The sequence below is a fragment of the Homo sapiens genome, chromosome 13 (genome assembly GCF_000001405.40).
Source record: "Homo sapiens chromosome 13, GRCh38.p14 Primary Assembly".
Lineage (NCBI taxonomy): Eukaryota > Metazoa > Chordata > Mammalia > Primates > Hominidae > Homo > Homo sapiens.
In genome coordinates this window covers 105,144,037-105,170,802 of record NC_000013.11, presented here as the reverse complement: position 1 = coordinate 105,170,802, position 26,766 = coordinate 105,144,037, and the positions used below count along the sequence as shown (strand labels likewise).

Below are 26,766 nucleotides of genomic sequence, written 5' to 3'. Positions count from 1 at the left end.
CTACATATATCTTCATAAAACAATTATAATCAGCCAGATTCTACAGCATAATTTTCCTCTGCCTTCAGCCACTTACAGTCAAAAGTGGTAAACTTAGATATAGTGCTTAAAGACTTAGAAGAGTAATTAGCAGAATTCTGTCAATGAGTGACCTGAATGTTGACTAATCTGTCACTGAATAACTTAGAGTTGAATATATTTGTAACTATTAAGACATTGAGTCCATTAATGAAAGCACTGAGTAATCTCATTTTCTTGGAAAGTAGCAAGAATTTTTTAATTATAGTTCCTTTATTGTAATGTGACCAAATTATATATTTCCTGTGTGGTTTTACTAAAATTAATTTGCTTTTATTACAAAGACTATACTTTTATTTGAAGTTTTATTTGCTTTGCATGTAAAATTCTAATTAATTTATCCCTTATTCTTCTTGGTAGATGACAATTCCATTCATTTTGTCAAAGTCTACTTTTTTTGTTGGAAGCTATTTTGTTTAGAGAAATTTGCTGAATATTAAACACCATGATTAGGAATAAACATAAGTTCTAAATACAGATTTATATGTAAAACATTCAAGAGAGTTTTGCATAAGATTACCATTATTAATTGAGTACCTACTAGGTACTAGATGCATGACAGATATTACCCTTTATCACCTTGTAAACAAATACGGTTGCCCTTGCTAGATAACACTAATATGTTTAAGATCTTCCAGCTAATTCTTGGTGCTTCTGGGCACCTTGTCTTCATCTCCATAGTGGGAATAGTAATATTTGCATTGCAGGAGCATTTTAAGGCTCGAGATTATAGTTTTCACACTTATTTCCTCATAAAAGCTTATCCTGCACTCTTTCTCATTTCAGTAAATGACAACTGCATTCTTCCATTTCCTTGGATTAAAACCCTTAGAGACAACTTTAATAGATCTTTGTCCTACACTGAACGACTAATCTATTGACAAATCTTTTTAGCTCTACCTTCATAAAGTGTTTATAATATTTCTACTTCTCACCACTATTACAGCTATTGTGTTAGTTTAAGGCCATGCTTTGCTCACCCAGATGACAGAACTAATTCCTTGTTAGTTTTACCAACTTTAACTCCTTGTTTCTGCTCTTGTCACCACATCCTGCCCATACACAATCAGTTACCATCCTCATAGACACAGTGGTCTGTAAAAATGCACATCCATTCTTGCCACTTCTGTGCTCCAAACCCCCCAATGGCTAAGACAAAATGTTGCCAGTGCCCCCTTCTCTTTTCACTCCCTCTCTCAACACTCCTTATTTCAGGCCCTACAGGTAACTGCTATTCTAAACACCTGTAGCTCCTTTCCTAGGGATTTCCTCTGGCTCTAGGAACAATACTGGATGAGTAGTTAAGGTAGAAGTACAGAAATATTCAATGCCCTGGGAGCATCCATCAACCATGGACAGAAGAAAGTGGTGGATAAGTATTCCAGTATTCGCAGCCCTCAGGTCAAGACACTCTGAGGTATGTGATGTATCATCCCCAAAGGGTCCTGACAGGGTATAATTCTAGTTGCTCTGGGCAACCTGCTTATGAATGAACTCTGTATTTGTTCTCTTCCTCTCCCTGTCTCACTTTACCACTTTAGTCCTGGTATTTGCTAGAATATTCTCCCAAATAAACTACTTAGCCTCTAATCCTTGTCTCAGACATTGCTTCAAGATGTCCATCCATCTTGCCCAGAGAGAGTTTCTACAACACTTCCTCTGCAAGCCCTTTCCCTACTTGCCTCACCTATTGCTTTCCTCTGTTACGTTGTATTCCCCTCACTGTTTCTTCCAACATCTTCCCACCTCAGAGCATGGACACTTGCTGCTCTTTCTGTGTCATGATGCTGCTCACTTGTCCCTTTCTTAATGTCTCCTCCCTGAGCCAATCTTCTCCACCCCCACAACTTACGCACACTTACATGTCATATTTTCCTTCATAGCCTTTAACACCATTTGAAATGATATATATTTGATTGCTTTTAAAATTTCTCTGTCCCCCCACTAAATATAAACTTCAGGATGGCAAGAATGTAGTCCATTATCTTATTTCTCCAGCCTCCATACTTTTAAGAAAATAAATTTTGGTTGTATAAGCCATCCAGTTAGTGGTACTTGGTTATAGCACCCCTAGCAAAAGAATACAAAAAAAGGGAGAATGTTTGCAATCATCTGTTTGAGGCTAGGAATTCCCAGAGAGGGAAACAAGGAGTAATCGTGGAACTCAACTACTTAATTCAGATTCAGTGCAGTGAAGATGAAAACCAGCTTTCACCTAAGTAAGGAGATTGACATCATAATGAGATTGACATCATAATGAGATTAAGTCCCTTCACTCCAGAAAGTGAGGCCCTAATACAGAATTCAAAGGTAAAATTGCTCAACACAAAACCTGGGTGTGTTAAGAATAGGTATTTTATATTTCCCACATGGAAATCTAGAAGTAAGATCACAGAAACTATTCTTTTTAGTTTTATCAGTTTTCTTTTTTATTCAAGGAAAACATGGTAAAAAGTATACTCTCAACCAACTATCTTGGCAATATTACACTGACTTATAATTTAAATAATATGTCAGTGTGTTTCTTTTGTAGTACATACTTTAACAAATACGTTTTCAAATTTTTCTAAGAGTCATTTTGAATGACCTGAAGTGTAGGATGTTGACATTGTTTTGAGTATGTTGATGGCATCCTATTGCATAAAAAAAAAATGTGGTCTTCGATGAATTCTAAAGTGACATACTGTAGTTAAATATAAAAGCAAAGATATAAAGAAATTATAAAAACTTAAGTTATTAGGTTGATATAAATTGATTAGTAAACTTAAATAGAGACTCAAATTGTATGTGTGTTTACTCTTTGCATAGACTGAATTCTAATCCTAATCACTTGTATAGATATACAAATGTATATGAGGTTTCATAAAATCCTCATTCTCATGACTACAAAGACTTTGTAGATAATTCTGGTTGTTTGCTCAGCAAAGAAATGTTTGATTCGGGAAAAACTTTTTCAAAAAATGTTATTCACATTGGCTAAAATATCTAAGCCAAAGTGTTCTGCACTTGACCTTAGAAGCTCATCTTTCTGAAATAGTTCTATTTTGTCTAATTACCTCCTGTTACATTAGATAAGTTTCTTCATGCTGGTCTAAAGAGTTCTTCTAGCCTGCTGGTATTTGCACATGGCATTTAAGTATTTGCAAGAGTACTTGCCCCTGTTCTTTACTCATCAGTTTGCAATGTCAATCATCACTTAGTCTCAGATTCTGCAACAATTATGAAGCAAATACTAGTTAGTTTTTTGGAGCTTTTTTTTTTTTTTTTTTTTTTTAATATAGTCTCCCTTTGTCACCCAGGCTGGAGTGCAGTGGCACGATCTTGGCTCATGGCAACCTTTGCCTCCTGGGTTCAAGTGTTCAAGCGATTCTCCTGATTCAACCTCCTGTAGCTGGGATTACAGGTGTGCGCTACCATGCCGGGCTAAGTTTTTTGTGGTTTTAATGGAGACCAGGTGTCACCATTTTGGCCAGGCTGGTCTCAAACTCCTGATCTCAAGCAATCTGCCTGCCTCGCCCTCCCAAAGTGCTAGGATTGAAGACGTGAGCCACTGCACCCAGCCGACTGGTTAGTCTTTATTTTTGCTTTGTTTGTTTGTTTGTTTGTTTATTCATTCTCCTAACAACATCCTTAAGCAAGGGCCACTGTTATCTCACTCATTCACTATTCATTGACAGTCACTCACATATGACAGCTTTAAAATTTGGTCTGCGAATTTGCAGAGTTTTACCTTAATAATCAGAGAGAGATGCGGTCAAATGCTTACAGGCAATTCAACATGTTCTGGTGTGCACAACATATAGTGAACACACAGAGGATGAGGAAGCAAGGTCCAACTGGCGGCACTGGGAATGTCCTATGAGTAGAAGGCAGAATGAAGAGAAGTCACTGTGAGTATTGCAGAAAGAAATAGAATTCTCAGTTTTCCACTTGTTTTAACAGATTGAGACATAATTGGTAAACAACAAATGGTACAAATTTAAAATATACAATTTGAAGTTTGTGTATTTCTAGTTATAAATTTATAAAAATACCACCATACTTAGGATGATGAACACATCCATCACCTCCCAAAGAATCCTGCAGCCTTTTTGCAATTTCTCCTGTCTTTCCTGAGGTACTTCCTCCTCTACCTCTAGGGAGCATGGATCTGCTTCTGTTACAAGACAGGTTTAAAAATTCTAGAAATTGATATAAATGAAATCATACAAGGTGAACTCTTTTTTTTTGCTGTGGGAAAAGAGTTCTGGCTTCTTTTACTTGGAATAATTATTTTAAGATCCATCCATGCTGTAGCCAGTATAGTTTATTCTTTTCATTACTAAGAGGTATAACTATTTTTTAAATTCCTTCATCTGATAATGAACATTTGGGTTGTTTCCAGTTTTTGACTATTTCAAATGAAATTGCTATGAAGAATTTTATATATAGGAAGTATAAGTGTTTGTAAGGATATATACATTTATTTTGTTTATTTCTCTCAAGCAAATATGAAGGAATAAAATGATTAGATTACATGAAAGTTTAAACTTTTCAGAAACTCTCAGTCTGTTTGTATATTTTTTCTTCCCTCTAGCAGCATATGAGAGATCTTTATATGCCACGTTATAATTGTTTTTTCCTAATTTGGTGCTGAGTTCTCTCACTGAGAGTGGCCTTTAACCAGAACAGCTATTATCTAAGAGAGCCTGGACTGGGGGTAACATAAAGTTCAGGTGTGTGTGTCAGGAGAGATACAATGAAGTGAAACCAAAATGCATGAAACAGAGAACACTTACCATTCACAGGTCCAGAGAGCTCAGGCGTGCTGATGGGAGGCTGCCAAGAAGTCTGCAAGAAGTAGACCCAGGAAGTTTACCCAGTTGGTGGGGGGGAGTGAGAGAGAGAGAGAACCTGGGGAACTATGCTATTAAGGTCCATGGTCTTTATTCTTTAGGTTTCCTGTGATGGTTGTGTATTACCTAGTTTAAAGAAAACATGCATGCAGCAGGGAACTTGTTTCTATGACTCTGATGTTGACTATTAAGTTTTATTGTGGTCAGCACCTGCAGGGTGTGTTAGGTTTTGGGTCTGTGAGATGAAGAACAACTGGGCTATATTACAAACAGCCACAGGGAGGGGAGCTTTTAACCAGGCTGGAGGTGATGGGGTATGACTGTATTTCAAACACCTTATGTCAGGCCTAAAATTGGATTCTGAGGCAGCAACTATATTAAACAAATGTAAAATACTCCACATCTCTGCCAACACTTGGTATGGGCAGGTTTTTAAAATTTTAGTCATTCTAAAAGACAGAGGTATCACACAGTGGTAGTAATTTGCATTTATAGTGATTAATAATGGTTAGCATCCTTTCATTGGTTGTTTACCATCCGTATATCTTCTTTAGTAAAAAGTGTTTTCAAATCTTTTGCTCATTTATTATTGGGTTGTTTGTTTTCTTAATGTTTTTGAGAATTCCTTCCGTATTATACATGCAAGCCCCTTATCAATTACATCAATTACAAATATATTACTTACAAACATGTCCCCTTGCATTTGATGAGCAATGACTGTGTACCCAGCCTAGTGGGTACAGGCATGAGCTCACTGGAGTCACACAAGTGAAACCCTGTTCCCTTTGTGGCAGAGGTTTATTTCACACTTATGGATGAGGAATTGAGGTTCAGATAAGTTACGTAACTTGCTCAGGGTCACACAGCAACACACAGAGCCCATGCTTTCAGCAACCCAGGGAGTATTAAGGGGTGGGGTTGGAGAGACAGGCCATGTTGGACCATGAAGAGTTCTGAAGGCCAAGTTAAGGTGTCATGGCCCAATCCTGTGGCCACTGAAAGCCATGATAGGGTTTTGAGTGAGGAAAGGAGAAGGTCGTGGCTGTATTTGAGAGAGAAGAAACTAAAGGAGAGGTGTAACATGTTAAAAAGCAACAGGGACGATGCAAAAACCATGTAAATTGAATTTCAACCGAGGAAAAGTACAACATGGAAATAAAATATACATCAGATTAGATTGTGCCTATACTCTGCATCCACTTTACTGTCCCATTAGAATCAAAGTTTTCAATTTTGATAAAGTCCAAATTATCACTGTGTTCTTTTAGAGATCAAACTGGGCATTGCTTCTAAGAAATGGTTGCCTGACCACCACCACCCCCCGACCCAGGTCAGAAAGCCCCTTCTCATATGTTTTATTCTAGAAGGTTTATAGTTTCAGGTTTTACATTTAGGGCTACAACCCATTTTGAGTTAACTTGTACATAAGGTGTGAAGTATACGTGATAGTTCTGTTTTGTTTTTCATTTGCCTAACAGATATCCAATTATTTTTTCAAGCACCATTTATTTGAAAGACAATCTTTTCTCCATTTGATTGCTTTAGCACCTTTCTTGAAAATTGGTTGTCCATATATGTGTAGGTCTATATCTAAACGTTCTGTTCTGTTCCATTGATCCATCTGTCTATGTCATTACTCAATGAGCATAATGTCTAGATTAATATCACTTTATATTAAGTCTTAAATTCAGGTAGTTTTGTTTCTCCAACTTTAGCCTTTTATTCAAAATTGCTTTGGCTACACTAGACTCTTTCTATCCCTATATAAGTTTTATATTAAGCTTGCAAGTATCTGTGAAGACCTGCTGGATGTTTTATTTAGAATGAATTGAAGTTATAGCTCAATTTGATTCATATATTTTGTCTGCTTTTCTTTCCATCTTGGCTAGAAGCAGAAAATGTATCTCTGCTAAGTATAGTTCACTTGATAGATCCTTTACAATTCAACTGGGTTATAGATGTAAATTTTACTTTCTATCAACTGATGAGTTTGAATTTGACTACTTAAGAAAATATAATAATAAAGCTCAGTGGAAAACTGGGTATTTATATCCAGGATTAAAAGATATCTGTAGTGAAGGACTAATATTGTTTGATGATTTGTTGAATTCTTCTTTGAATGCTAAGAATTGACTAAGGGTAATATTTTATACTGAAAATTACTGTATGCTCTGATTTTAGACATCCTGGCTTATATCCTCGATCTGCTACTTAATACTCTGTAATTCTCATTTATTACTTAACCTCTCTCATCTTCCATTTCCTCATCTATAAAATTGAACTTTTAATATGCTGTAAAGCAAATAATTATTTTCATAGCTAAAGTTATAAAATATGTAGAAAATATTAAGCTCTTAGAAGTGCTACCAATAATTACAAGGCTATTACAAATTTTTGAATATTTTCAACAACTTATAAGGATAGATAGCTGATGGGTGCTCACAGCCTTCTTCCCCACTCCAGTCATGCTATGAGCATTGCGGAACAGAGACTGAGACTAGAAATATGGTGAACAGCACAGTATAAGCACATGGTGTTTCTGCAAACTTCCTGTATGCGATTTAACAGTGCTGTGATTCTGGCTAGCTTCAAGGTCGGTCTTTTTCTTTTGCATGTCTTTACCTTTTTCTTCCTTCCCTCTTTTTCTCCCCTGGTCTTAGCTGCTTTTAAAATGTTTCTCCTTATCATAGAATTTGAGAAGTTTTATATGTTGTGCTTTGGTGACGTTTTCCCCACCCTTGGTGTCCACTGAGCTTCTTGACCTGTAGGGTTTTGCTGTTAACAAATTTGAAAAATGACCATGATTTCTTCAATTTTCTTTTCTGTCTACACCCATCTTTGGGGACTCCAATTGCATGTATATTACAGAACTAGCTCCTTTATTTTCTCTTCATACGTTTTCAGTCTCTTTCTATGTTTAATTTTCATTATTTTCTATTTTTTCAAGTTCACTATATTTTTCATTGACAATATTTAATCTGTTGTTAATTGAATCCAGTGTATTTTTTATTTCCATAGTTCTCCTCTGTAGAAGTTTAATTTAGAATTTTTTTTTATTTCCTTGTCTTTTTAACAAGTTGCATCTCTTTTTTACTTTCTTGAGCAAGTGAAATGTGATGGCAACTCTCTGGTATTCTTTACTACTTACCGTATCATCTGTGTCATTTCTGGGGTCTGTTTGTATGAATTGACTTTAATCCTTATTATGGGTAATATTTTCCGGCTTCTTTGTGTACCTGAATATTTTTTATTTAACAGAAGTTATTTTTGATTTGACTATATATGTATTCCTATAAATATTAGTGATTTTTTTTTTCGGGAACATGCTTATGTTCCTTGGAATCAGGTTGATCCTTTCAGGTTTTTGTTTTAACCACTGTTAGGAAAAACCTAAGCAGTATTTAGACTAGAACTTATGTTTTGCCTCTACTGAAACAAACCTTTCTAAGTATTCTATTTAAATTGCTAAGTTTTTCCTCTCAGACTGCTGGGAACAGGCACTGTTGTCACTCGTGTGTGTTCCAGAGACTGTTTCTTCTAATCCTTTCTGGGTTGCCATTTTGCCAGCCTTGGGTAGTTTTCTCCCATTCATTCCATGACCAGTGCCCAACTGAATTCTCAAGGGGGTCTTTCTTGAGGTCGTATGAACTTCATCTCTTTGTAGCTTCCTGTTCATCAGTTCTCTTTCCTATGACCTCCAGGCACCCTGGTATCTCCACATTTTCGTCTCAGTCTCTCTTCTCAACCCAGGGAGACCACTGGCTCCCATGTGGATTCCCAATTTCTGCTCCATCACTAGCAAACTCTCTCTAGGATTAAGGTAGGCCTGTTCTAGGATTTAACTAATTTGTCTCTTTTCTATCAAAGACGTCTGGAATTATTTGTTTGATGCCCAGTTTCTTGAAAACAATGGTTTTATATATTTTGTCCACTTCTGGTTTTCTCTGGGAGGATAAATCTGCTCCATGCCATTTTATCTTGGTTAGAAGCAGGCATCATCTACTCTTTTTAATATTACCACTTTCATCAATAAAATGCCACAAAATCTAGCATTAAAATCCATGATGCCTAATATAAACTTTCTGAAAATTGATTTCCTTCAATTCTTACTTTCCAAAAATATGCATATTCAGAAAACTGTTTTTAGGTATTTAAAATTTTAGAGATATGTATTCGATTAATTACGTTTGTCTAATCCGGTTCTCTGCTGAATTGTATCAGACCATTAGGATCTAACCGACACTGGAGTCCCAGGCCCTCCTCCTTCCACAGGCTTCTCTGGGTTTCCACAGTTCTTAGGGGTCCAAGCTCACCTCTTTATGTTGTCACCTCTCTTACATTCTCTGTCCTAGCTCTGTCTCCTAGGACATCTCGGTCCTTGCCCATCTCAGTTCTTGAATCCTGAGCTAGCTTGCTCTCTTTCTCTCTCTCTCTTTCCATTTTTAACTTCTTCACAGAGCCTCTGATTCATCCACTATTAAATTCCAAAGAACACAAAACCTGTATGAAAGCAGAAGTTTTTACCAAAGATTTGAGTATTAGAGGGAAAAGATCATATTTAGCACTACGCCAGTAAAAGAGTTAAGCCCTCAGACACACCACGGAGTCATCCCAGCAGCTTTCAGTTTTCTTGTACATTCACCTCCCCAGTACCGGTTCTCATTTATGCTTTTTCTCAGATTACCTCAGAAGTCTGAATTCTTCACCAGGAAATCTTGTGAAAATGCAGGTTTTGAATCAATTTGTGTTGGGCAGAGCTCACAAATTGTATCCTTAATGAGTTTTCCATTAGTGCAGATGTTGATGCTCCACGGACCACACTCTGAACACGAGATACTAGAACATACAGATCCCCCTTCTTAGTAGGCAGTTACCCATGAAATAGCAAAATGTGTTACCTGCACGTGCTCTCTCATTCTAATGTAATTAGATGACTACACCATTAAACTAATGGGGTAAAAAAAGCAGAGAAACAACATGTGTGAACATCCTTGTATAGAATTTATTTTGTCAAATCTAAATCTTAAGAGCTACTATTATACTGCTCTTTAAGTAAAACAAAATAAAAATAATAAAATGAAATAACTCTTAAGAGCAAAGTCCGTATTCCTAAGGATTTCTTCCAATCAAATCAGCCACTAGAATCCAGTAAAATGTGAGGACAACATTCCTAATATTTTAGGATGATTGAGACACTTGCCAATCATTTTTTCCCACAAATAATTCTGTCTTAGGAAATCAATTAAATGTTTTATACTATGTTTTCAATATACTAGACTACCCAATATGTATTAAATAAAATGTGAAATTATATAAATGGAAAAATATTTTATAACAATTTGAATAAGAATGGACAATTTTGCTACATTCTTGTTTAGATATGTATATCATATTCTTTAGCACGAGGAAGAATTCGAGTTAAAAATACATGCATAAGTATTACTTTACAAACATAACCATCTCTTTCATTGAAATGACTCTCGAAACAATTTTACCTGTTACAGGAACATGAATTCCCTGCTTAAGAGCTATGTCTAAGAGACTATATAAGAAAAAGCAAAGCTCTGTTTTTGATCACAGAAAGAAAAAGATTTCTAAAGGCACAATCAATCCTATTTAAACAATTAAAAACAATGAGAAATTATGGCTTATGATTAAGTCAAAGAAAATTGAAATATGTTCTTAATGATTCCTAAGGCATGTAGCTAGAAGTACTAAGATAGCAATATGCCTGTAAATCCTTGGAGAGGAGAGGTAATTTACTCAGGGTAATTAGCTCATCCTCACACTCTGTCTTGCGAGGTGCTCTGGGACCACTTGTGCCCCTCTTCCTGTATAAACCTGGTGTAGGTTTGCAGGCTTGCTGAGAATGCCACCTGCTCCCTGTGACTGGGCATCTTCCTGCTTGTTCTCTGGGTGACTGTGAAGAGGCCTTGGCTCTAAGCCAGACATTTTGTTTCCCATGTGAAAACCAAATAATATCAAAAAAAAAAAAAAAAAACCACAAAAAAACAACCATCCTATGCTTGTGAAGGTTGTTTTGGGAACCTGTATGAGGCCTGAACACATTTTTTATGAATTCTTTATGAATTTACCTTTGTTTCTTGCTGACAGGTGTTCACTGATAATGTGGCCTTCTGGTTTTAAAATATTTGTATTTAGGCCGGGCGTGGTGGCTTAAGCCTGTAATCCCAGCATTTTGGGAGGCCGAGGCAGGCCGATCATGAGGTCAGGAGATCGAGACTATCCTGGCTAGTATGGTGAAACCCTGTCTCTACTAAAAATACAAAAAGTTAGCCAGGCGTGGTGTCGTGTGCCTTTAGTCCCAGCTACTCAGGAGGCTGAGGCAAGAGAATCGCTTAAACCCAGGAGGTGGAGGTTGCAGTAAGCTGAAATAGTGCCACTGCACTCCAGACTGGGCGAAAGACTAAGACTCCATCTCAAGAAAAAAAAAAACTGTATTTAATTTACCTAAGCAGCTGATACAGAGACACACCAATCCTAATTCTAATGCTTAAAAATGCATTTTATTTACACTTTCTTCTTTACCCTTGGAGTTTCTATGCTTGTTTAGGCACCATTATTCCAGGGTTCCAAGCCATCAAGTAAACCATTCTCATAGGGTACCTATTTATGGAATGCATATCAAAAGCTGGAAAGACATTGACATTTGGGATAACTATATCTTGCTAGGCTCTTGGTATGTAAAATATATTGTATGCCTCATATTTATGTCATATTTAAATCCACTTGAAACATTTGTGTTTGATAATATAGCCATAAAGAACCTGGGTTAGATTTTGTATGTACATTGTGATTTAATTTAAGTTGCAAATGAGAATATTTGATACATAGAAATAAGGTACTCTCCTCATAATTCTCCAACTTTCCAACATTTCATATCTCATCTGGCATTCCTGGCAAAAATTTCTATTAGACATTGAATTAAAAATGTGTGTATGCTTATGATATGTCCACGCAAAAATTTGGCAACATTTTCAGTGGCCGTAATGGGAATTAGGAAAGTCTTTCCCATGCCACCCAACAACTAAAGAAAGAACGAGTTTTCCTATCGAGTGCAATTTGCTACTGACATTGAAGATCACCCTGTTCCACATTTATGAGACAGTTTCTTGATGCTCTTGTTCCTGCTTCTTTAGACAACTTGACCATCTCTTCCATCTCCTTAGCTGTGTGCTGACCTCACTTTGAAGCTCAGAATGACACTACATGTTCCTCAGCCGGGGTGACTGTAGGAAAGAAAGGGAAAAAACAACAACAACAACAAAAACATAAACTTTATTTCTTGTTCTTGTCATCATTTTTTTTCTCCTCCTGATAACGCTTTCTTCCTGTGGATTCTTTCTGATACATTTTGTGTCAAGAGAAAGGAGAACTTTAGACTTTTCAAAAATTTGCACTTTTATTCCTCTGCAGACTAAACCCTGTGTGGTACTTCCTGCCATCAATTTTCAACCCCCTCCTACTCTGCCCATCCTCCACCCTTAGGAAACTCTTGGGTCTTATGTCTTCCAAATTGCCTGTGGTTAAGGTGTCAAATGGGTTTGCAGGACTACACAGACCAATAAATGGCATGGTAAAGGGAGCCCATATGCAGGCCAAGTGTATATCGTACATGCACTTGAAGGTAGTATGAGATAGATGACATTTTACATTGTGAGAGAATCGAATACATTATTTAACATGTGGTACTGGTCCAGTTGGCTAACCATGTGGAAAAAGAAAACAAAGTTAAACCCCTACCTCACAACACATACCCTAATAAAATCCAGATGAATTAAACATTCAGATATAAAGAATGGAGCCATAGGATTACTGAAATGAAACATAAGTGAATTTACGCTATTGGCATAAAATAGGCAAAGAAAGAGAATATAAGGAAAAGAGCTGTTAATTTAACACTCATGAATTTTCTGTATAGTAAAAAGTAAAACTACCAGCACATAATTTGTAGTATATAACTTTAATATAATATTGATTTTATAAACATGTCCTAATATTAACTAGTTGACTACACCAGTAGAAAAGTGGACAAAGGATGTAACTGATGCTGAGAATAGGAAGCAAATGGCCAAAGTCCATATGATAAATTGTAGAAAAATAAGCAAAAAATGTAAGTTCAAGCAATAAGAAAAATGTCATTTTACCTATAAAATGGGGAACTAAGATGCGTTATGCATTGTTTGCAAGGCTGTGGTAAAGATATATGGTCATACATTTCACTGAAGTTTAAATTGGTTCTTTATGGTGGGCAAGTTGGCAAAATGTATCTAGAGCTTTGAATATGCATACATTTGAGGCCAAATTTCATACTAAGAGTTTACTGCAAGAGAAATTGACATGTAACATATTGTTTAAAATATTTAAGTATTAAAAAAACTAACATATTGTTATAAAACTTTGATTAAATTATAACACACAAAAAAGGTTACTGCAAATCCAGTTAAAATTATGAGGGATACTATTTAAAATCATGGGTAATAAATTACTACTTACATATTAAGGACGTAAGTACAATTCAAAACAAAACACTATATAAAGTCAAACCCCGTTAAAGTATTGTGTGGATATTTATAATTTTTAACTGGTTGATTGGAGTTTATTACCTATTTTCTTTTTTAAAAAAAGAAATAATGCTTTTCTCATTAAATAAGAATGTTAAAATAAGTCTCATAACCATTTATATATGTCACATAAAGTTCTGTTACAGTATGTGATATGTTTTGGCTGTGTCCCTACCCAAATCTCACCTTGAATTGTAATAATCCCCATGTATCAAGGGAAGGATCAGGTGAAGATAATTGAATCATGGGGGCAGTTTCCCCATACTGTTCTCATGGTAGTGAATAAGTCTCATGAGAGCTGATGGTTTTACTAATGGGAGTTCCCCTGCACAAGCCCTCTTGCCTGCCGCCATGTAAGACGTGGCTTTGCTTCTCTTTTGCCTTCCACCATGATTATGAGGCCTCTCCAGCCATGTGGAACTGTAAGTCCATCAAACCTCTTTCCTTTATAAATTACCCAGTCTCAGGTATGTCTTTATTAGTAGCATGAAAACAGACTAATACGGTAGACATCTTTAAAATCAAACAAAATGATGTGTTAGAGTCCCTTTCACAAAATTCTTTTGTTTATTTCTGAGAGGCCACTAGGTGATTAGAAAAGAATAAGCAGATACACCGGAAAAATGTTTGACTTTCAAATTTATATTCCTTGGATGGCACCATGTCATTCATTAGCCACTGTTACCTGACAAAATATTTTGCAATAATAATCTACTATCCCTTCTTTTCATTCTCTCTGGACTTAATTTAATTCATGAGGGCATTTCTTATGTGAATTTCTAAACCTTCTACTAAATAACATGAGAATTATATTCCCAAGTTTTACAATTATGTGATAGAGACATTATAGAGACAATGAATGTCTAACCCATGTATCTGCTGTATATTGAGGTAATGTATACTTTGAAATTAAAAACAAATTCATTCTTAAACAAATGAGAGTTTTCTCTGCTCCACAAAGCAATCTGCTGAAATTTGAAAGAAACGTGTGTCTGGAATTTTTCCCAGTTTTATTTCTCAGAATTCTGAGATTGTTTCCTGGGACTCCAGATCTATTGGATCTCAATATGCTTCCCTGTTCTATAGCTCATTAATCAGTACATAACCATTTATTTTCCTCTAAAAGACAATTCTTACCAGCCATCTTTGATGTAACAAATGAGTTCTTAAAAGTTGGTGTAACAGAGAAGTTACAGCAACTCTTCTTTCTTTAAGACTGTGTCCTCTTCTGAGATGCCTCCCTTCAGCTCAATGCGTAACAAATAGTGCTGTATCGAAGCCTCATAAACTTGCTGCCCTAAATGATTATCTGTCCCAACTGTTAGCAAGTGGAAGAACTGCTAGACACTTTGGAATTTTGGTATTTCTCTTAAGTCATACCACTAGAGTCTGAGAAGGGTAAAATGAATTGTAAAAAATGTTTCTACCAAGATTAATCAATTAACTGGATTGTCAAAATATCACTGCTTTCTCTATTTTATTTGAAAAAATAGTGTTTGATATATAATAACTGTTAATTATTATGCATAGTAATTGTTAAATAAAAGTTTGCCATGTTATCACGTTCTCTTAAATGACTGAGTTTTAAGCTATTATTCCGGAAAACCAAGTTTGAGATTCTAAGGAAACATTCTGTCATAGGAGCCGTACTCATTGCCTTCAAGACAGACCTATTTCAATACTGTCAGGATGTGCACACACATGCTTGTGTTCTGTGTGTGATGGACACATATTATTATAGGTGTTCTACAAGAAAAATCCTTGAAGGGTTTTATGGGTTCTCTAATTAATAAAAAGAAAAAAAAAAAGCCAAAAGGATGAGATGGCAGTAAGGAATGTAGGGTTAAGGAAAACTTGAAATTCCACATGAAGTGAATGCCTATGGAAAAGGGACATTTGTTCACTCGGAATGAGACTGCCTACTTACTCAGTATCATAGAATTAAAGAAAAAAAATGAGAATAGGTGTGAAGACTGTAATTACATTTTCATTATTATGTTACATACTTAGGATATAGGATGGAATTGCCAAGGTCATTAGACCACCTTCACAGCCTTCAAAAGGACCATACATCATCTTGTTAGGGCAGAGGGCTGTCTGCCTTAATCACAGTTTGAAAGGTAAGACTACTTCACCTCTGCCTTAGTAAGGATATTTATATCTTTGTTGAAATAGACATCTTGCCTTAAACTTATCTAAATCTCCCTTGCTCCATTTCAATAGGTTGCTAACTAGTTCTATTTAGTTTGGAATGTATGTGTATTCCATTTGATTGAAGAAAGTTGAAAATGCATACGACTATTTATCACACACTAAGAACTTCCTGGTATCTTGGATGTGGAATGAGAAATCAAAAATTTATGACCCCAACTTTGTCATGTACTCACTGCATAACATTGACCAAATTACCTATCCTCTCTAAGCCGTAACTTCTACATCACTAGTACATTTCATGAAGTTGTGAGAGTCAAATACAATGATTTATATGAAGGACTTAGTAATTAAACAAGAGACATCATATTTAGAAGTCAGTCATTTTTAATATAGTAAACACCTTCAGTCAATAGATGCTTTCTACCATTCTTTTTAAATAATTTAAAATAACATTGTACAGGATTGACTTTTCATGCCAGGCTTTGTTTCTGCAATGTGGTAATTCATATTAATGATTCATTTTCCTGATTTCAAAATATGAAATTTATCTTTTAACTTCTCCGTCTCTCCTTCTTAGCCCATATGTCAATAATGACTGAAAGTATTCATTTCCATCTTTAAACTGCCTATTCCAGCCACCTCCCACCTCCATCTCTTTCCTTCTAAGTTTTCTTCATCTTCTACTTTGGGCAAAAGGAAATCGATGTGTCAGACAGGCCTAGTTTTGAATTCTGGATCTGCTAGCACTTCTCTGTGTGTCCTTGGTTATATGATATAGTCTTAAACCTTAATGTTCTTGCCTGTAAAATGGGGATAATAAAAACCTCTTAACAGTGGTTGTTTCATGCAGCTTTCATTACAAACTTCCTCATTCAAAATCTTCAATGATTTCCATTTTTCACAAAATGAAATTCAAAATTTCTGTAGATTATTGAGACAAGTCCCCTACTCTTCACCTAAATTTATCTTTTATTTATTCTCTCATCATTATCAACAACTACTAGGCTTTGTTGCCTTGACTCCAGAGGCAAAAATCTTATCTCCCAACAATGTCTCTTAAGTTAAGTGTAATTCATTATTTGATATTCTTGTTTCAAAATGGGTAGAGGAAAACTTCCTGCATATACCGTAAAATAATTTTAGGGAAAATATACTAATGTATGTTCCAGAGCACTGGAAGGTCCAAAGCTACCTATTTGCATTGTACCATTACTATTTGATGTAGCCTTTTGCTCATTATGCAATGAGCTGAAATACATTTTTCATCATGCCTCCTGAGTCTCTAAGTAAGAGTGATTGACTCATTCCTTTTCTACCAGTGAGATTGCAAAGCAAAAAGAAATATGTAGTATTTATTTACTCATGGAATTCATTCTTATGAAGGTCAGTTGCCAAATGATGCCAAAACCTTACTTTCTAGAATGCTATTCAAGTTATCAGGCTTTAACGTTTTCAAGATGTTTATGTTTGACAACCATATATAACATAAAATTATGTGAAGTAAAGTATAACATAACTGTTTCTTTTCTATAAAACATGCCTATTTCAAGTACATAGTACACTGCACTGCAGATAACCGGCTGATAACCAGCTCTTAACACATACAACCTAATGATTGAATTAAACCATAGTGTATATTTTTCTAAATGTATTCTTAATTAATCACATTACAACCATCAGTATTTGGGTGAACAGCTTCAGCATCCATTAGTTTTTGAGCAAAGAACTAGAATTCGGAGCATTCAAATGATACTAGAGAAAAGACATGAAGACTGTTTATGAGATTGGTCCATCTCTGAGAAATGTCAAGATTTAAGAAGAGCCGCAATTTCAAAACCAGGGCTACTTCATTGTGGACCTGAATCTATTTACCCAGGGTCAAATCAAGGATTTGGAACAGACCATGGGAACACACCACTTTCAAATTTTGAAATATTTGCAAATACATGATGAGATATCTTGGGGATGGAACCCAAGTCTAAACAGAAAATCAATGTATGTTTCGTATCTACCTTATAGACATAGTCTGAAGGTAATTTTAGATAATATTTTTAATATTTTGTTTGACACCAACATTATTCCTGTCTCTGAATTTATATGCTACACATAAGCAATCATTTTCTTATACCTATTCACATGTAAGTACTTAACAGTTAAAAATTGACATACCATTCATGCAATAAAAAATAATATGCTGAAGGTAACTAAGCAGTATAGCAGCAGCATCACAATAAACAAGCTGTTACAAAATAGCAATAACAAACAAAGGAAGGCTTCCAGTCTCCACCTACGAGTCTGTATTTTAATTTAAAAGTTACTGTACGCTGTATTATTATTATTTTATTTGAGAAGAAACATCAGAAGCAGTCGAGGGATTAGGAAGTGGGTCCTCTGGGGAAGAGGACATATTCGGCTGGATGGCTTCTAAAGTGTTTCCTCCAGTCATCTCCCTCATTAACAATATTTTTTCTTACAAGCCTCTCTTTGATTTTATAAACTGACATGATTTCTTGCTCTATGAATCCATGCTGCTCCAGTCCTTCAATAAGCTGATTAAACATTTTCATTATGTCTTCTGTAGGCACTTTCTCTGCAGGGTTAACAATGTCATCTTCATTGCCACTATTATCATGATCACCTTGATTCTGAACCATTTTGGCTATTTCTCCATCAGTCAATGAGTGAACAACTGAGCCTTAATATCAATAACGTCTATAACATTCTTCAATGTTCACTTCATCCAGTTTACTGAGGGACTCTGAAGGTATATTTTTTGCATATGTAAAGAGGTCAGACAACATTTTATTCTCACTTGATACACAGAATCCCTCAAAGTCACCACCTTATTAATCCTCATCACTGAGCATAGTTGCAGACCCAGAGGGTATGCTAGACATGCATAGCTATGTATTTAGTTCCTGTGTTCCAAGCCTTGGCAAAAGCCAAAACAGCATCCTTCATGCTAAGTTCCTTTTTAGAAACTTTCATATTTATACCACTATTCACTGATGCTAGCTAGCATGGTATTCAAGAAAGTATTTTTTATATTAATTTTCATTGATCTAAGGATACCTTTGTCACACAGCTGAATTAATAAAGTCACATTTGGGGAAAACACATGAAATAAACATGAATGTTTAAAGAGAATTTCAGCTGCAGGATCTGCTGAACAGTTGTCAAGGAATAACAAAATCTTGCAGTCCTCATCCAGTCCAGCTTCCCTGCAGTGAACATGAGCTGCTGGTACAAAATGGTGATGAAACCAGTCAGAAAAGCTGCCCCTGATGACCTATCCTTTTTCATTAGCATAGTAACGACCTAGTAAGAAATGTACTCATGGAAAGCAGTGAGGATGCAAGCTTTGCCTATCATGGCGAGTTTACACTTATGTACGCCTGCTGCATTAGCACAGTGCAGGTGTTCTGTTCTTGGCATTCTTAATTCCTGTATGAGCTGTCTCATTGGCTGTAGTCAATTTTGGCAGGGAACACCAAAACAGTGAAGTTTCATTCGCATTATAGACTTGTTTTGGCATCAGATTTTCTTCCTTTTTTTTTTTATTATACTTTAAGTTTTAGGGTATATGTGCACAATGTGCAGTTGAGTTACATAGGTATACATGTGCCATGTTGGTGTGCTGCACCCATTAACTCGTCATTTAACATTAGGTGTATCTCCTAATGCTATCCCTCCCCCTCCCCCCAGCCCACAACAGGCCCTGGTGTGTGATGTTCCCCTTCCTGTGTCCATGTGTTCTCATTGTTCAATTTCCACCTATGAGTGAGAACATGCGGTGTTTGGTTTTTTGTCCTTGCGATAGTTTGCTGAGAATGATGGTTTCCAGCTTCATCTGTGTCCCTACAAAGGACAAGAACTCATCATGTTTTATGGCTGCATAGTATTCCATGGTGTATATGTGCCACATTTTCTCAATCCTGTGTATCAATGTTGGACATTTGGGTTGGTTCCAAGTCTTTGCTATTGTGAATAGTGCCGCAATAAACATACGTGTGCACATGTCTTTATAGCAGCATGATTTATAATCCTTTGGGTATATACCCAGTAATGGGATTGCTGCGTCAAATGGTATTTCTAGTTCTAGATCCCTGAGGAATTACCACACTGACTTCCACAATGGTTGAACTAGTTTACAGTCCCACCAACAGTGTAAAAGTCTTCCTATTTCTCCACATCCTCTCCAACACCTGTTGTTTCCTGACTTTTTAATGATCGCCATTCTAACTGGTGTGAGATGGTATCTCATTGTGGTTTTGATTTGCGTTTCTCTGATGGCCAGTGATGATGAGCATTTTTTCATGTGTCTTTTGGCTGCATAAATGTCTTCTTTTGAGAAGTGTCTGTTCATATCCTTCGCCCACTTTTTGATGGGGTTGTTTCATCAGTGATGACCATGGCAAACTTGAAAATGATGGGTAGATGCTCCACTGCTTCATGATGGGTAGATGATTTATCACTACAAACCTTTAAAAATTTGATGCTGTGTTTTTTATTAGATTTCTGCAACCAAGCTATTAAGTATTCATAGTTCTCTTCAGTTTTCATTGTGATAAATCTTTGATTGTTTCATAATCAGATACCATTAGGTGGTCTGTGTTCACTGTGATGCTGGTGAATCCACACTCTCAATGTCGCACACCTGTCTGTGTTTTGACTTGCACTTGTCACATGAGGTCAGGTGTGGAATTTTCCACTTGTGGTGTCATGTGGGCACTCAAACAATTTCGGATTTTGGAGCATTTCAGATTTTCAGATTAGGAATGCTCAATTTGTATCTAACTTTCTAAACCTGTGAATATGAGACTGTATTTATCTATCCCAAGAACAAACATCAAAATATGTCCATCAGTGATAGATTGGATTAAGAAAATGTGGCACATATACACCAAGGAATACTATGCATCCATAAAAAGGATGAGTTCATGTCCTTTGTAGGGACATGGATGAAGCTGGAAACCATCATTCTCAGCAAACTATCGCAAGGACAAAAAACCAAACACTGCATGTTCTCACTCATAGGTGGCAATTGAACAATGAGAACACTTGGACATCGGAAGGGGAACATCACACACCAGGGCCTGTTGTGGGGTGGGGGGAGGGGGGAGGGATAGCATTAGGAGATATACCTAATGTAAATGACGAGTTAATGGGTGCAGCACACCAACATGGCACATGTATACATATGTAACAAACCTGCACATTGTGCACATGTACCCTAGAACTTAAAGTATAATAAAAAAATATGGTAGCTGTCTGAATATTATCTAAATACATAGGATATAGAACTCCCATTATGAGTTGTAAAATTGTAACACTTTGAGAAGTAAAGAAGGATGGAGTAAAGATTGAAGGTTGGAAATGGAGGCAACATTCTCTGATATGCTTTTCCCTGATATAATATTTGACATACAATCAATACAAACATTTTGCTGATACAATAATAGCTAGAGATATTATTATGTCTTTGTAACAGAGAGATGTTTAATATGAAATAAATGATGCATAGTAGATAGCTTAATTTGCTTGGTGGCGAAAAACACTGCCTAAATCCTTTGGGGCTGAAATTTGCTGATTTCAAAATGTATGCCAATCACTTAAACCATTTTAAAATTTCCCTTTTCTTATAATAAATTACAATTATTAAAATATCACCCATAAGAATTGAAAATCAAATAAATTTTTGAATTATACTTCATGTATTCTTATAAAGAAATGGAATCAGGAATATGTTTCAAAAAGATCTTTGTCAATTATAACTATCATTGTATTACTAGGGTTTCATTAAAACTGGATTTTCTCTACTTTTTTTGTATTTTGGTTAATGAGTTCTTTGTGATTTATTCTATCTTAATTAATTTTGCCTTCTTTTTAAATATATCTGGAAATTTAAGAGTGTAAAAAGTGACAATTAAAAATCTTTACATAACCAAAAGTAGATCAAGGTTACATTTCGCTAGGTTGGCAATAAAATTATCCATATAATTACATAATTCATTCCCCTAAAATATTATTTTGGTAAGTTACTTAAAAATTTTGGCACATCTTGTGTTCCTTTTGAAGAGAAATCATCCTATATATTTCAATATATTTTAGATTTTTTTCTAACTCCATCTTTGTTTTAAGAAAAATCAAAGTTTATAAACTATGTCTATATTTACAAAATCACTGTGTCAGAGCATGACTTTTAATCATCTCTGCACTTTAACACAGGCCTTAGGATATTTACAAAAATTGGAGAATCAAAATTAGAGAGTTGCAAACACCCTTGAAATCCATCTAGTCCAGTCATCTAGCTCTCCACTTCTTAGTACCACAGGCTAAGGAGACAGACTGAGCAGTCAAGGTAACAAGCCCCTCTACCCTTTCTTTGTACAAAACAATTTCAGTGTTTTTGAAGTATTTGTAACAATGTTCTTAGCAACTTCATTATACCATTTAACAAGAATACATTGAAAATCAATTCCCCAACACTCATTTTGTACGCTAATTTTGTAAGATCCTGAAAAGTTTCACTATTTTATGGTTTCATGTGTTACAGATGAAAAAAAAACTAGAATTCAAATTTTCTGAGTTTTTTTTTACAATATTTTATGATTACAAAGTTAGAAGACTAAGAATAAAATGGCCTAATTTCCATAATGTGAGTGGTAAATGCAGAGCACTGGCCTAAAGAAAATATTTCAAAAAATTAGTCATCTTTTCCTTAATTTTTTTCCAACCTATGATCTGTTGAATGAGCATTTTGCATATATAAATAAATAAATTACTTTGTAAATAATCTTGACTGGTTTCTGTTGACCACAGTAACCCACTGCACAGCACAGCCTGTAATTCCTATGAACCTAGGGAAATGTATTTAAGTTTATTTTTTGATTACACAGGTCCTCATTGTGTAACTAAACATTGCATAGAATATGCCAGTGATGATGCAGAAAAGCTGTCAAAATCAATATTTAGGGGAGAGGTAGCTGCTGGCAGCTCTGACACATTGAAAAAGTTCAGTGACTCAAGTACAAAGACAGGAGAAAATCATTCAACAAAACCCCTGAAATGTGTACTTGTTTTTCCTGACCTACACATTTTAATTCCAAAAAGAGTGGGAGGCACATAATTATTTTTGTCAACATAGATTCATCAAACACAGGGCAAATATATTCAGAACAATGGAGATATTTCCTTCCTGCCAATTCAAGAATTATTAATTTGCCTGAGGAAAACGTTTACATTTATGATGGTATATACACATGTCTACACACACATATGCATATGTAAAAGAAAAGCGTATCAAAATCTAACTGTGCCGGAAAGTAGGACACAAGTGTTAGCTGCATTCACAATGACATTGCAGTGACCTCATAGCTTGCTTTGCCACAGTTTGCTGCCTTTTTCATTGTTGTTCAAAGGAAGATAAATTTCAATATTTCCCTTGCTTGCATAACATGGTGTCGCATTCCAGACTGTTGGTAGTGTTTCCACATATAAATTATTGGTCTAGCACTTCACAGAATCTGGTACGCTGCTATTTTCAGCAGTCTATGCTTCCTCCCAGCCTCCTCCTTGGTGGTATGACTGTTACAGAAACATTAGAGGGAACAGAAATGCTGCCAGTGCACAATGTGAGTGGTATTATGAGGAATCAGATTGCTAAAAGCATGCATATTTGATGAAGCAAGCTAAACAAGGTTATACTGTTTAATAGCCTAAAAAGGCAAATAATAATATATGAGAAATCATTTCTATATCTGTAGGTGTAAGAACCCAAAGTTAGAAAAAAACATCTTTTGTCGGGATTAAGGAAATTTATTCAATGACATCATAGCAAATAAAATCAGATTTTTTTATGTGAGTAAACTATTAATGCATAGCAGAATTAATAATCTTGTAGCAATGATACCAAATTAATTTTATGTTTTAAGCCTATGATATAAGTTAGTTTCCAAGGACAAAGCAGTGTGACTAAAGCCCTCTGTAAAATATCATTTCCTAAATAATAACAATACACCTGTTTGTTTTTACACTTTTAAAATTTTTACCTCTCTGAATAATTGAGAATTTGAAATCATCACACAAGGAAAGCAATATGCTTTTTATTTGCATATAGCATGTTCTTTTCATTAAAAATGTAATATGGTGAGAGGTAAACAAATCTGCCCAAAAAAAGTGTGCAAACCTGCCAGCCTAAGTGGTACTTCTTCTTAAAAATTGTACTGATTTTATTTAACAAAAAGTTCAAGTGATAATTCTAAATAAATAGAATTGCATTGTGGAACATATGTTATCACATTAATCATTTGCTCCTACTGCTATTTCATACTTGGTGGTCATTCTTATGCCATATCTGTAATTATGACATTTTTCTTTACTCTAATGTCAACTGATTACTGATGGGCCCAGAAATGGCTTTCTGTTAACAAGCCTGGAGCAGCTTTGTGCAAAAAGGCTTTTGGGAATAAAGAATTGATTTGTGCATCTTGCAAACAGAAGAAATTTGGGATAACTCAACTAGTGACTAGAAGAATCCCTTCTCTCAGAGTAAATTCCAGTGACCATAGAGTATGGATTGTTGACCATTCTTGACATGCCATTGGTCATGGTGATGGACATTGCATGCCTGTCCCAAGACGGACATTACTGATCATGACAATGTTTGAAATAGGAAAACAGGCTAATAGAGTTAAAGTGAATTGCTTGTAGTCTCACAGCTAATAAGTGACAAAGCAATCATTGGAAACTAATTCTGTTTGTTTTGCTTTTGAGTGGAAGAATGTTAGATCCTAATGTATAATGTTTAGTTCAATGTATGTCATGATAAATAGACATTTACCAAAAGCATACATTTGTCAAAGCTCTGAAGTGTTTGGCTGTGAATGGAGACTCAAGACTTATTACTCAAACCAATATTCATACAGTCTTCTCCTGTTGACATTCATGCTAATATTTTTATCTATTTTATAACCGAAGTGCTTTTGTATATTTTTGATTATAATTTTCTGAGTAGAAGCTGTCCTTGAATAACATTTTCAAGACAAACTACACAATTATTGTAGTAGAAATATGGATTCCTTTCCAGGTGGTATTTGAGATCACTAGAGGACAGTAAGGATTTGTAGAGGTCATTTGTTTTTTTAAAAAAAATTTAATAAAAAGCATTTATAGTTGTAATTTATTTTAATTTCCAGTATGTACGTATTTAAAGCAAGTATAGATAAAATTTACTTTGTGATAGCATCAATGTTTAATTAATCATTTGCTTTTTCAATCTTGAAAGCTAGTGATGTTTACATTTTCTGTTTCAAATCAACCATTTTTAACTTATATTACATCTACAAGAGGTAAGAATAAAAAAATTGAAATGACAAAAAAGGATTATCAAAATTATTACGATGTGGAAAACAATCTTGAGCGTAATCTGTAGCTGAGTAAATAGCAGAATGTGAAGCATTATGAATTATTTTATAGACTTTGGAAAATATGAACAAATATAATTGTTTATATTTACAAAATGTCTCCTATTTGTATACCTCCTAGATCAAGCTGTGTTCATTATTATGGTGCTGCTGCCGCCTAGTTAGCCTATCACTATCTAGAGTCATCAGCTTTCCTTAAAGCCCTTTTCTCTCCTCCCCTTAAAGCCCTTTTCTCTCCTCCCCTTAAAGCCCTTTACTCTCCTCCCCTCACCTAAAGTAAGTTAAATACATTTACTCACAGAACTAGAAGTGGGTGGACTGGCTAATGAATGGTTTAGCTTTGAAATTATACTTACAGAAAATATTAGATTAAATTATGGGAAAACATTTCCCCAAATGATTTTTCTAGTACTATGCCTATAAGCTTTGTGCTTCAAAACAGTAGTGAGAACAATTGCAGTTATAGAACAACTAAACTATTTACTGAAGACAAAATGCATACCGTATTTTCTAGGATGTATTCAATGTCTACAGGCCTGACTTCATTTGCTTTTGTTTTGAACATTTGTTCTTGTTCTCTTCTATGTGCAGGCGCCAGAACTTGACTCATGGCAAGGCTCGTAGTCCAAATTACCCCTTTGTTCTTTCATGTAAATGCCTTCCCTTCATTTTCACACTCTTGCCATGGCACCATTTTTTCCTGGAAACCCACAAACAAATTTCTGATTCTAAATTTGTCTAAAAACTGAAATAAGAGAGAAAAGTTAGAGTTTTTAAAGGAGTGATCCCATACTTAAGGTAGAAAAAATGACTGAAGTCCTGGAAATAATAAAAGTTACATGTGGTTCCTCTCCTTGATCTGACCATTTCAAAACTTGGAAATAGATACTACTTCTTTCTCTTCCATACTTCCAAAAAAGCAGACAAGAAAAGCTCACCTCTTGCTTCAAATAATTAAAGGAAGAAGGTAATTGACACATAATCCATGCTCAATAGGTTTATAATATTTTTCAAATAAAATCATCTAAACTAGATAATAAATGTTATTAAAAATTTCCACTAATTGAGCACCATGAATCAGTTATCTCACTTTATTTCTACACAACAAATAGTAAGGTATTAATTTTTAAAAATATTATAAAGAATAAAGAGCCTAATATGAGCCAATCCCCAACATGATTTATTTGTTCTAATTTTGTTGATAGATCAGTGAATAAAGGCAAAATAACTTCCCTCCTAGAGCTCATCTTCCAGGCAGGGAAGTCAATAATCACATCACATACAACATGGAAAGTGATGCTAATGTTGAAAAAAAAAAGAAAGAAAAGAAAAAAACTAAGCTTAGGGAAAGAGGGAGTATGTAGGTTGGGGTGGTGGAGATATATCAATGAGGAAGGTTAGGGAAGGCCTCCTTGACAAGGAGACAACTGAGCAGAGAATGAAGGAAGGAGGAGTTGGGCCATGTGACCATCTGCTGAAGAGCCAGACAAGCAGACACAAGGTTGCCTTTGGGTGGATAATGCTCACTGTCATCAAAGAACCACAAGGAGGCCTCATGCTGGAGCCAACTGAGCAAGAGAGGAGCTAGAAGAGGAAGAAATTAGAGATTCCGACGGAAGTGAAATCACCTAGACCCTTGCAGACCTGGGCGAGGAATTTAGTTTTAACAAGAAATAAGATGAGAAGTCA

General features: G+C 35.4%; 1 annotated feature.

Moving 5' to 3' along the window:
- Nucleotides 4,710–4,759: a silencer, noted in NCBI's record as "silent region_5488". NCBI's record gives its function as "represses an Ori minimal core promoter by ATAC-STARR-seq in GM12878 lymphoblastoid cells {active_cell/tissue: GM12878}" and the evidence as "EXISTENCE:reporter gene assay evidence [ECO:0000049][PMID:35858748]".